At 46.9% G+C, this 12,048-nt stretch overlaps 1 long non-coding RNA gene across 2 annotated transcripts in view, besides 1 other annotated feature; it reads left to right on the forward strand.

Annotated features, from left to right (window-relative positions):
* The window catches only part of LOC105374536 (uncharacterized), a 44,163-nt gene that overhangs the window by 17,351 nt on the left and 14,764 nt on the right, over positions 1 to 12,048 (forward strand). The window contains exon 3 of one of the 2 annotated variants that reach the window (XR_925494.3): positions 3,617 to 3,673. This is a non-coding gene — a long non-coding RNA (uncharacterized LOC105374536). Of the gene's footprint in view, positions 1 to 3,616; positions 4,422 to 12,048 lie in introns of those variants that run through there. The other variant, XR_007058090.1, reaches the window with a different exon arrangement.
* Positions 8,504 to 9,321: an enhancer, noted in NCBI's record as "H3K27ac hESC enhancer chr4:25451941-25452758 (GRCh37/hg19 assembly coordinates)". NCBI's record gives its function as "activates a minimal SCP1, AML or CMV promoter by ChIP-STARR-seq in primed H9 embryonic stem cells {active_cell/tissue: H9 hESC(primed)}" and the evidence as "EXISTENCE:reporter gene assay evidence [ECO:0000049][PMID:30033119]".

Below are 12,048 nucleotides of genomic sequence, written 5' to 3' on the forward strand. Positions count from 1 at the left end.
TTGGAGGTGTCAATGATTGGGTCACCTCCTCCGACTTGTAAGTCAGGTTGAGTGTGGTTGGGGTGTTCTCTGGAGAGGAACAAGAAGTCTGGCTAGAGAGGTGGGCAGAGATCATGGAGAGATGATGTGCCATATTAGGAAGTTAGGGTGTCATTTATTCATTCAACAAACACTGTGTGCCTCCGATATGCCATCATCATTGTGGGCGCTGATCAACATCCAAGCCTTGCCCTTATGGTCTTACATTCTAATGGCGAGGGAAGGATAGACAATAATCAAGTACACAAATACATGAGCAAGGTAATTTCACATAACAGCACAGCTTACAAAGAAAGGTGAGGCAGGTTAAGGAGCTAGAGAGAAAGGAAGGAAGAGGGAAGAAGTTGCTATCTAGGTTAGGGCATTTGAGAAGAGATCTGAGTGAGGTGAGAGAAGAGGCTGGGTGAATATCTGGGATTGTGGGGGGTGGGGTGGTGGTGGGATGGGGGGGCCAGAGGACAGCAATAGCAAAGGCCCTAAGGTGCGCAGAGGTGCAGGGGCCAGATCAATAAACCTCAGAGGAAATGGTAAGGCCAGCAGGTTTTATCCTAAATGAGATGGGACACCGCTGGAGGATTTTTGTGTTTGAGACAGGGTCTTGCTCTGCCTCCCAGGCTGGAGTGCAGTGGCACAATCGTGGCTCACTGCAGCCTCTACCTCCTGGACACAAGTGATTCTCCCATCTCAGCCTCCTGAGTAGCTGGTGTGTGCCACCACACCAGGCTAATTATATTTATTTTATTTTTTGTACAAATGGAGTCTTGCTTTGTTGCCCAGGCTGGTCTTGAACTCCTGGGCTCAAGCCAGCCTCCCACCTCAGCCTCCCAAAGAGCTGGGATTACAGGCATGAGCCACCATGTCTGGCCCACCACTGGAGCATTTTAAGGAGAGGAAGAACAGGATCCTAGTTCTGTGGTAAAAGAATCACTCACAGCTGTGTTAAGAATCGACTGTAGGGAAGAAAGCGCTGAACAAGGGAAGCTGGTGAGGAGCCTATTGCAATAACCCAGCAGGAGCTGCCTCCCGATGGGGAGGGGTGGTGGCCACGGAGTAATGAGGTACGGAATCAGGTTCTGCATACCTCATTCTCCAGCTCAGTGGCTCTCAAAGTGGGGTCACTGGACAGCGGCATCAGCCTTACCTGAGAAGGGGTTAGGAATGCAAAATCTCAGGCTCACCCACACCTGTTGAATCAGAGACCAGAGGTGTAGGGCCCTGCTCAGCAAGCCATGTGTGGTAAGCACGCTCTCCAGGTGATTCTACCCTTCAGGTGATGTGGGTGTACGTTCAAGTGAGAGGGCTACGTCCACTGAGGATGATGAGTAGGCGGGAGGGATTGTGAGCCAGAAACTGGACTGGATCTGATTTACCCATTAGGAGGGTGAGCCTGTGGTCACTGTGGAGGGGGCGGGGGAGGTGTTCATCAGCAGGAGGTGATGAGGGCACCAAGATGGCCAGTGTAACTGGGAGCACACAGGAGGAAGTGGAATAAAGCATAAAACAGCAAATATTGGCTGGGTGTGGTGGCTCACGCCTGTAATCCCAGCACTTTGGGAGGCCAAGGCGGGTGGATCACTTGAGGTCAGGAGTTCGAGACCAGCCTGACCAACATGGTGAAACCCAATCTCTACTAAAAATACAAAAACTAGCCGGGCGTGGTGGTGCATGCCTGTAATTCCAGCTACTCAGGAGGCTGAGGCATGAGACTTGCTTGTACCCGGGAAACGGAGGTTGCAGTGAGCCGAGATTGTGCCACTGCACTCCAGCCTGGGCGACAGAGTGAGAATCCGTCTCAAACAAAAACAAAAACAACAAAATAGCTAATACTTGTTGAGGGTCAGTTATACGCTGGCACTGTGCCATTTCACTTGGATTATCCCGGATAATCCTGCAGTTTCTCTCAAAAGTGGGTGCTATTGTTACCCCCACATAACAGATGAGAGGACTAGGCTTTCTGAAGTTAAATAAGGAACATGACGTGTACAACATTGTGAATGTAATTAATGCCACTGAATAGCATACTTAAAAATGCCTAAAACGGCAAGTTTATATAATAGATGTGACCCAAATTTTAAAAAAATGTTAAAGAGAAAAAACACAACACCACCAAGAAACCCCACACAGTTCCATCAGTGAGACAGAATTGAAACACAGGCAGAGCAGGCCCAGGCCCTGAACATCGCAGTGTGTAACAGGTGGAAATGACCATCGGCACGAGGTTCCAGGGGGTCATCTGAAGAGGGTTAATGCTGATGTGTTAATTTTCTGGCATTTGGTTAAGATAGACCGCAGTTCAGATGCCCGGGTTTTAAGCTTAAGGCTCACTTTCTCCTTTCTCTTGCTTATCCACTGTATCCAGTCTGGATTATACTTTTGAAATATTTCCTAGATTTCATGTCCCACTCCCCATCCACAGTGCCACCATCGGGCCAGAATTGCCCTCAGTTTCTGGCTCTTCCAAGAGGCACAGGAGAAAGGGTTAAGGCAGAGTGAAGAAGGGGAGCCCAGGCAGGAGTCTCCGAACTGGTTTGCGTTTCTCAGAAGCGTTGGAGAAATGCAGCACTTCTGAAAAATGCAAATTAACTCAGACTCCAAGGAGGGGCAGTACAACACTACTCGGATGATAAGGTGGTTTTTTTTTTTTTTTTTTTTTTTTTTGGAGACTCACTCTGTCACCCAGGCTGGAGTGCAATCGTGCAATCTCGGTTCACTGCAACCTCCACCTCCCAGGTTCAAGCGATTCTCCTGCCTCAGCCTCCCGAGTACCTGGGATTACAGGCACGCGCCACCATGCCCGGCTAATGTTTGTATTTTTAGTAGAGATGGGGTTTCACCTTGTTGGCCAGGCTGGTCTCGAATTCCTGACCTCAAGTGATTCGCCCACCTCGGCCTCCCAAAGTGTTGGGATTACAGGCGTAAACCACCATGCCTGGCCAAGGTGATTTTTTTTTTTTTTTTTAGTTTAAATTAAGATGCTTTTCTATCTTTCCCACCTATAACTTCTCTGCCTCTGGCCATGTTTTCAAACCCAACCCAGGTCTAGCAAGAGTACAAGACAAAGAGCTGAAATGAAATGTGGTAGCTTCATTTGAGAGCTGGGCTTCCACCTTTCTAACTAGTTGCCCTTCTAACTTGGCTGTTGGACTTGGACTTCCATGTCATCTTTTGATTGCGTGTTGCCAACAGCTCTGGAGCTGCTGTTGTCTCCTTTGCCAAGGAGGAAGTTTGCATCTCAGCGTTCCATCCCCTTGGTGGCTTTTCCCATAGTCTGGGCCGTGCCAAGATATAAATGTGCGTGATCTGGTTTCCAGTTGGCTCTGCCATCTTCTGTCTTCACAGAGCCGTCATTTTCAGAATTTAAAATGGTGTCCCCAGTGCTTTTAGTGGAAATCCAGGAGGCTCTGGAAACCAAAAGTTGTTATTTTGTTTTAGTAACTAATTTGGCATGTGCCGTGCATTTGGTGGCAAAAGCCCACCTGTCCTGAGCTATTATTTATTTAGCATACTGAGTGTAAAGATCGTTATGTTTGCCGCATAAATATGAATATGTTTAATTGTGGTGTGCTCTGTATTCCAGATCTCCCAGGAGTGTCGAAGATGACTCTGTGCCTGCACTCTATGAACCTTCTGAAATGTGAGTATCCTGGATTCCAGCCCACGGCCAGCGCTGGGTTGTGCGTAAGGGACATGGACCTGTATGTGTCCTGGAGTGAGAGATGGCAGGGAGTAACTCAAAGCATAGCTCTCAGAGTCAGATGACCCGGCTCAGCTAGCACAAACTGGCAGTGTGGTCTTGGTGAACCCGATAACCACCTAGACCATCTGTTTCTTCTTCTGTAAATGGCAGCCATGGCCTCGCTCTCACAGCACGGTGTGTGACATAGTCTGCCCCTGGCTGAATTGCCACCTGCACCTCCCATAGCCTCCTCTTAGGTCCCTCTTCTTAAGACATGCCTAACCTCCCTGTGCTGAGATGTCCCCTGTGCTCAAAACTGCCTCATTAGAGAGGCCTCCTCATCCTACAGACGAGGTATTAGCCTCCTTGCCCAGGCCCTCTTTCTCTCATTCTCCCACTTTGCTTTTCTGCCTAGCACGCGTCTCTCCCTGCAATTATATGATGTGATTATTTGTTTGCTTATTAAATCATCTCTCTCCTCACTAGAGGGTAAGCACTGTCAGGGCAAAGAGTTCTTTGCCTGACTTGCTGCCATCGGGCCAGCACTTAGAGTAGCCCCTGTTGGTGTTCAGTGTGGAAATCTAGGAGGGGGAACACCCTTGCAAAGGTGCCCTCTGGAATGGTGAGTGGAGTCCAGTGTTGAGAGGTGGCAAGACCAAGACAGACTCAGCCACCTGCCTGCCGTCCTACCTTTCCATTGATTCTTCCCAGAATTCCACATGGAGATAATGAGTTCTCATTTCATGTTTAGAAAGAGTTGGAGGAGGCAGAGGAGAACTGCATGCGTGTGGGCATGGGCGGGGGGGACCTCTGATATAGAAAAATGAAAGATGATTTTGTTTTTTCTGATCAGGACCAAAGACCAAGCTATTAGATATTTCCTTAAGTGCTTTTTTAGTGTGGATTTGGAGAAATAACTTGGAGGGATGATTGCTCTCTGCCCCCACTTGTACAGTTCTTAAAATGCTGGAGTTGGTTTTTGCTATTGAAAAAGGCAGGCAGCAGCCCCCAGAAACCTCCTGAGGGTGCAGATGAGGCAGGGGCCCCAGCAGACCCCCAGCTGATGGACACAGTGTCTCCCCTTTTGGGCGTGGCCTGCTAACAATGACCTTTCTGGAAAGCCTTTGATTCTGGCAAGTGTCCTCAGGCTTCCTGGTACCTGTGACTGAGAAGAGTCACCTGGTGAGAAAAACAATGTTTTCTCTGGTCCAGTGACAGCACTCAAAACCTCTCCAGGGGTGAGGGAGAAGTATGCAAAATGTTCCTGGGGTGGGCTGGGTGTCAGATGACTCCTAAAACAAACGGAAACAGACACTCAATGGAACCACAGTGGACTCTCCAACATTCCAGAAAAGTGGGGCGAGGACCGAGGGGACTCTCCAAGATTTCAGGGAAGTGGGGTGAGAGCCCCAAGAGTGTTTCCTACAGATGGGCAGGGCAGGATTTGAGAGTAGGTGGAAAGTGTTTACAGCCAAGCAAGCCAAGTTCGTTAATTAAAGGGTGGTTTAAAATATTGCGCCCAAGGGTCCCGGCATGAAATTCATCAAATATTAGAGACCTTGAAAATTGGTGCATGACTTTAGCAAGCAGAAAAGCTCAGCCAGTAATGTAGTGAGCACCATGTACCTGATACCTAGGTTTAGGACATTTTAGCACTTTGCCATATTTTCTTCAGATTTTATTTTCTAAAAGTAGAAACTGTTATAGACACAGTCGAAGTCCCCTGTGTATCCCTCCCCAATTCTTTCTCTTTCTTCCCTCCCTCTGAACTTGGCTATGATTTCCAGGCATGTTTTTATTTTATTACTACAAATACTCTCTCCATAAATAGCTATATTACTGTATGTATTCTTAAAGTTCATGCCTAATGTATAATATAAAGCTGTTATTATATAATAATATATAATATGTATACATATAAATTACAAATGATTATGTCCTTATACAGACAGCCTTCTGCAACTAACCCTTTCTTTTTTTGCGGGGGGGATGGAGTTTCATTCTTGTTGCCCAGGCTGGAGTGCAATGGCCTGGTCTCAGCTCACTGCAACCTCCGCCTCCCAGGTTGAAGCGATTCTCCTGCCTCAGCCTCCCAGGTAGCTGGGATTACAGGCACCTGCCACCATGCCATACATAATTTGTTTTTGTATTTTTAGTAGAGACAGGGTTTCACCATGTTGGCCAGGCTGGTCTCGAACTCAACCTCAGGTGATCTGCCCACCTTGGCCTCCCAAAGTGCTGGGATTACAGGTGTGAGCCACCATGCCTGGCCAACTTACCCTTTTTGTTGTTCAATGTTATGCTTTGGGGATTTGCCTGTTTTCATACAGAGAGCTGCAGTTCAGTCAGTTCAAGTCTGAAGTCTAGAGTATTCCACCAGGTTAATACACCACCAGTTATGTATTCATTTTTATGCTGTGGGCATTTAGGATGTTGCAAGTTTGTGCTGTTACTTCAATTAACACTTTCCTACCAGTCTGCTTGTCTTCTTGCTATAATGCGTCTAGAGGGTGTATCTAGGAGTGGAATTCCTAGGTCAAGGGATCTGCAAATATCCAGCCTTACTATATGTTGCCAAACTGGACTCCACAGTGATCAATACCAACATAAACTCTCACTAGTGTTGTGGAACAGTTCCTGTGGCCCTGCCTGCTTACCAGACATTTAGTGTTGCCAAAATGTGTAACTTTTGGCCAGTCTGGTGGGTAGGAAACTTACTGTTCAGTATTTGAGGACTCGAGAGCTAGGAAATCCTTAAGAGGGAAGGTTACTGACAGTTTTTGAGGACCTACTCTGGGCAAGGCACTGCAACACCGTCTGCTTGAATTCTCCTGAGAAACTCTGCGAACTTGGTATTAACATCCTCTTTTCACTAAGGAGGAAACTGAGGCTTGTTCAGGGTCCCACTGCTGGTGGAAGAGCAGGGATTGGAGTTCAGCTCTGTCTGTCCCCAAACCCTGCCCTCCCCTTACCAACTCCTCCATAGTCCAAATGTCTCACTTCTACAGAGAAGAAAATCATGCTCTAGAGAGGCAAGGCAGTGGGACTGTCCCACAATGAGGAGGTGGCAGAGAGGACTGGAAGCCTGCTCCATAGGGGTGACCAAACTTTAAGAGCTCTCCCTTGAAGCTCTCCTGGCTCTACTGGCCCCGTGGCATCCACATGCCCTGAGCAGGACCACAACATGGCAACTTCATTATTGCTGCCGAGGTCCTGAACCTGCCCAATCTCCTGGCCTTCTGGGAGAGGGGAATGTTAGCTACAAGCTGTCACTCATGTGCCAGGAAGTGTGCTATGTGGTGTACTTACGTGACCACATTGAATCCTAGATACCCTCATTGTTTCCATTTTGCAGATGATGAAATGAAACTCAGAGAGCTTCGTTTTCCCTGTGCTGTTCCCACTCACACACCCTGGCCTCAAGCCTCACTTTCTCACTCTCTTTTCCAACCAGGGGAATGCCAGAAATGCGCCTGGAGGGAAACAGCTGGGGAGAAGAGCCTCATTTTACTGCTTCTGCTCAAGGCTCTTCCAAGCTGAGTGTTAAATGCCATTCCTTTTTTCTTTTCCTAAAATGAAATGTACTTAAAAAAAAAAAAAAAACCAACCTTTTAACTTTAGAATAGTTTGAGATTTACAGAAAAGTTGTGAAGCTGGTGTCGTTTCCATGTACTCCACACCCAGATTCTTGTAGTTAACATATGACATTAGCAAGGTATGTTTGTCACAATTCATGAACCAGTATTATTAATTATAATGTTATTAACTAAATCCCATACTTTACTCAGATTTCCTTAGTTTTTTTGTTGCTGTTTTGTTTTTGTTTGTTTGAGACAGAGTCTTGCTCTGTCACCCAGGTTAGAGCACAGTGACTCAATCTCGGCCCACTGCAGCCTCCACTTCCTGGGATCAAGTGATTCTCCTGCCTCAGCCACCCACATAGCTGGGATTACAGGCGCTTACCAACACGTCTGGCTAATTTTTGTATTTTCCTAGAGACAGGGTTTTGCTATGTTGGCAAGGCTGGTCTCAAACTCCTGACCTCAGGGAACCTTGGCCTCCCAAAGTGCTGGGATTATAGGCGTGAGCCACTGTGCCCGGCCAGATTTCCTTAATTTTTACCTAAATGTCTCTTTCCTGCCCCAGGAGCCCATCTGGAATACCACATAGTCATCACGGCTCTGTAGGTTCCTCTTGGCTGTGAAAATGTATCAGACTTTCCTTGGTTTTTGGACAGTTGTGGGGAGTACTAGCCAGGTATTTTGTAGAATGACCTCAGTTACGATTTGTCTGAGATTTTTCTTATGATTCGACTGGGGTTATGGGTTTTTAGGAGGGAGATCCCAGAGGGAAAGTCCCCCTCTCACCACACCACAGTATATGAAGCGTACACACCCCCAACATGGTTTATCCCTGCTGCTGTTAACTCTGATCACCTGGCTGATGTTAACGCTGATCACCTGCCTGCTGTTAACCCTGATCACCTGGCTGATGTAATGTTTGTCAGGTTTCTCTACTATAAAGTTACTCTTTTCTCCCCATTTTCATACTGTGCTCTTTGGAAGGAAGTCACTATACACAGCCCACACGGAGTTGGGGAGGCTGGGGACAGTGGCTCATGCCTGTAATTCCAGCACTTTGGGAGGCCTAGGCAGGTGGATCGCTCGAGTCCAGGAGTCTGAGAGCAGCCTGGGTGAGAAACAGAAACCCCATCTCTACTAAAAATACAAAAATCAGCTGGGCATGGTGGCACATGCCTATAGTCCCAGCTACTTGGGAGGCTGAGGCAGGAGGAACGTTTGATCCCAGGAGGCAGAGGTTGTGGTAAGCCATGATTGCACCACTACACTCTAGCCTGGGCGACAGAGTGAGACCTTGTTTTAAAAAAAAAAAAAGTGAGAGGTGTCTGGCTGCAGTCTGTATTCCTGAGCACGTGCTGTGTGGCCTCCTGGCCTCTGGTTTCTCCAGACCCATGCTGTGCTCTGGCACTGATAATAACACCTCTGCCACCCTTAGCCCTGGAATTACAGCTGCCAAAGCCCTTTACAATTTCATATCCTTCCTGTCATTTGCTGCTCTGCCAAGTAGGAAGCACATGCACTATTATCTGCCCCTTTTTAGAGTTGGAAAAACAAAGGTTCAGAGAAGGACAGTGACTTACCAAGTGCTGCACAGCTGGTCTGCCGTAGGGCTGGGGTTGAAGGCAGGTCTCCCTGGCTCCACTAGGCCACTCTCCCTGGGGCTGCCCTCGTCCTGACTCCCAGCAGCTGTTCCTCCCCAGGACAGGCTCTTTGCTCCCTCTCACCTGCATATGTCCTCTCTCTCAACCACTTTTCTCTTCCTAATTGTCACGTGGCTCCTGCCCCGAGGCCCCCTTTCCACCCTCTGACATAGTTTCCATTTCATCCACTGCGCCAGCCCTTCGGCTCCCTCCTGGCCCCAAAATGTCCGTTCTTGGGCTGTTTCCTCCTTCACAGCCTCCTCCACAGGCTGTGTTGAAGTCTCCATCCTCCCCACCTGGGGACAGAGGGGTTCTCAGGGCCACAGATGTTTTGGGAAGAGAGATGGGCACCTTCAGAAAATATATTTTAGCCTATCCTTTCTCAAACTTCTCTGTACAGAAGAGGCCCGGGAGGTATCTGTAAAAAATACCAATTTCTGGGCTCCCGCTGTTGAGTCCATTGTCCCGAGGCCCAGGAATGTGCATTTTAAACACAATTGTCTGAAGTGATTCTGATTCAGGTGATACTGCAGTTTGAATTGCTTGAGCCCAGGAGGTTGAGGCTGCAGTGAGGTGTGATTGCACCACTGCATGCCAACCGGGCACTAGAGTGAGACCCTGTTTCGGAAATAAATAAATAAATAACTCACCAAAACCTTTCAACACATACCTACTAGGATGGCTACGAAGGAAGGAAGGAAGGAAGGAAGGAAGGAAGGAAGGAAGGAAGGAAGGAAGGAAGGGAGGAAGGAAGGGAGGGAGGGAGAAAAAGAGGGGCAGAGAGAGACAAAAAAAGAAAAAGAGAGGAAGACAGAAAGGAAGAAAGAAAGAGAGGAAGAGAAGGAAAGAGAGAAATAAAGAAAAAGAGGCCAGGCTTGGTGGCTCATGCCTGTAATCCCAGCACTTTGAGAGGCTGAGATGGGAGGATTGCTTTAACTGGGGAGTTCTAGACCAGCTTTGGCAACATAGCGAGACCCCGTCTCTAAAATAAATAAATAAATAAAATGAAAGAAGGAAGGAAAAGGGAAGAGAGAGGAAAAGAAAGAAGCAAGGAAAAGAGGAAGAAAGGAAGACAGAGAAAAGGACAGAAAGAAAGAGAAAAAAGGAAGAGAAGAAAGAGAAAAAAAGAACAAAGGAAGGAAGAAAGAGAGAGAGAAAGAGAAAGAAGGGAATAAAGGAAGAAAGGAGGACAGAAGAAGAGAAAGAAAATAACAATTGTCAAGGATGTGGAGAAATAGGAACCCTTGTGCCTTGTTGGTGAAATGTAAGTTGGTGCCTCTAATGTGGAGAATAGTAATTGGTTCCTCAAAAAATTAAACATGGAACTACCATATGACCAAGGAAGTCCGTTTCTGGGTATATACCCAAAAGAATGAAAGATAGAGATATCTGTACACCATGTTCATAGCAACATTATTCACAATAACCCAAAGGTGGGAAACAACCCAAATGTCCACGACAGATCAGTGGATAAACAATATACCGTATCTACCTGCAGTGGACTATTATTCAGCTTTAGAAGGAAGGAAATTCTGAAACGTGCCACAACATGAGCGAGCCTTGAAGACATTATGCTAAGTGAAATAAGCCAGTCACAAAAGGACAAATATTATATGATCCTGCTTATGCGAGGTACTTAGAGTAGTGAAACTCACAGAGACAGAAAGTAGAATGGCTGTTGCCAGGGTCTCGGGGATGGGGTGGGATTGAGGAGTTAGTGTTTAATGGAGTTTCAGTTTTTCAAGATGAAAAGAATTCTGGAGATGGATATGGTTGCACAATTTAGTGTACTTAATGCCATTGAACTGTACACTTAAAAATGGTCATGAGGGTAAATTTTGTGTATTTTACCACAATTTCAAAAATTTTACCACAATTTCAAACCTCTCAACAATTCTATGAAGTAGGTACTATTACTATTCCCATTTAACAGATGAGGAAACTGAGGCATAAAGAGGTTAGGAGATGTCCTTAAAAATCACACAGGGCCGGGCACGGTGGCTCACACCTGTAATCCCAGCACTTTGGGAGGCCGAGGCAGGCGGATCACTTGAGGTCAGGAGTTCCAGCATGGCCAACATGGTGAAACCCCATCTCTACTAAAAATGCAAACATTAGCTGGAAGTGGTGGTGGGCGCCTGCAGTCCCAGCTACTTGGGAGGCTGAGGGAGAAGAATTGCTTGAACCTGGGAGGTGGAGGTTGCAGTGAACTGAGATCGTGCCACTGCACTCCAGCTTGGACAACAAAGCGAGACTCTGTCTCCAAAAATAAATAAATAAATAAATAAATAAATAAATAAATAAATAAATAAAAACACTGATAATAAGTGACAGAGCTGGAATGTGAATCTGGGAAGTGTGCATCCCTCAAATGTCCACACGTCCATTCCCACCTCTTCCAGGCTGCGTGCAAATGCCCACCTGTCTTCCCGCCTTTTGTCACCATCCTGCATAAAATAGCTGTCCCCTCTCCCCAAGACATTTCCTATCCCTGTTTGCCTGCTTTATTTTTTATTTATTATTATTATTGTTATTATTATTTTCTGTGACTCTAGCCAAAGATAGTTTTTATTCTTGGCACTCGACTTGTAATATACTTATTCGATTCCATTTTTATCATCTGTCCCCTAGACATAGCTTCATGATGGCAGGGATTTTGACTTTTTGTTTGCCATGATATCCGTGTGTCAGGCTTTACTAGCAGCTGCTCAGTAAATACTTGTCGAATGACTGAACCAAACATGGATTGGGTGGCTTCTATGTGCCAGACACTGGAAATGCTAATATGTAAATGAAGCCCAGTTTTTGACTCCAGGGCTCCTGGTCTGGTGGAGCGATGGAGCAGCAAGGAGCCATGTAATGATCCTGTTTCCACGGGGCACTGGGACAGTAGAAAGCACAGAGGAGGAACACCCAGCCCAGCTTTGCTGGGGCCAGGAAGGATGCCTGGAGGCGAGACAGCCCCTTGAGCTTAGTTCTCAGGAATGAGTTGGGGATGTCCAGGTGAAGAAGAGAAGGAAGGGCTTTCTAGGTAGAGGGAATAGCATATGCAAAGGCTTAGAGGTCTGAAAGGGCACTGGCCTTCAGGAGAACCCAGTCACTAAGTGCAAGG

The sequence above is a fragment of the Homo sapiens genome, chromosome 4 (genome assembly GCF_000001405.40).
Source record: "Homo sapiens chromosome 4, GRCh38.p14 Primary Assembly".
Lineage (NCBI taxonomy): Eukaryota > Metazoa > Chordata > Mammalia > Primates > Hominidae > Homo > Homo sapiens.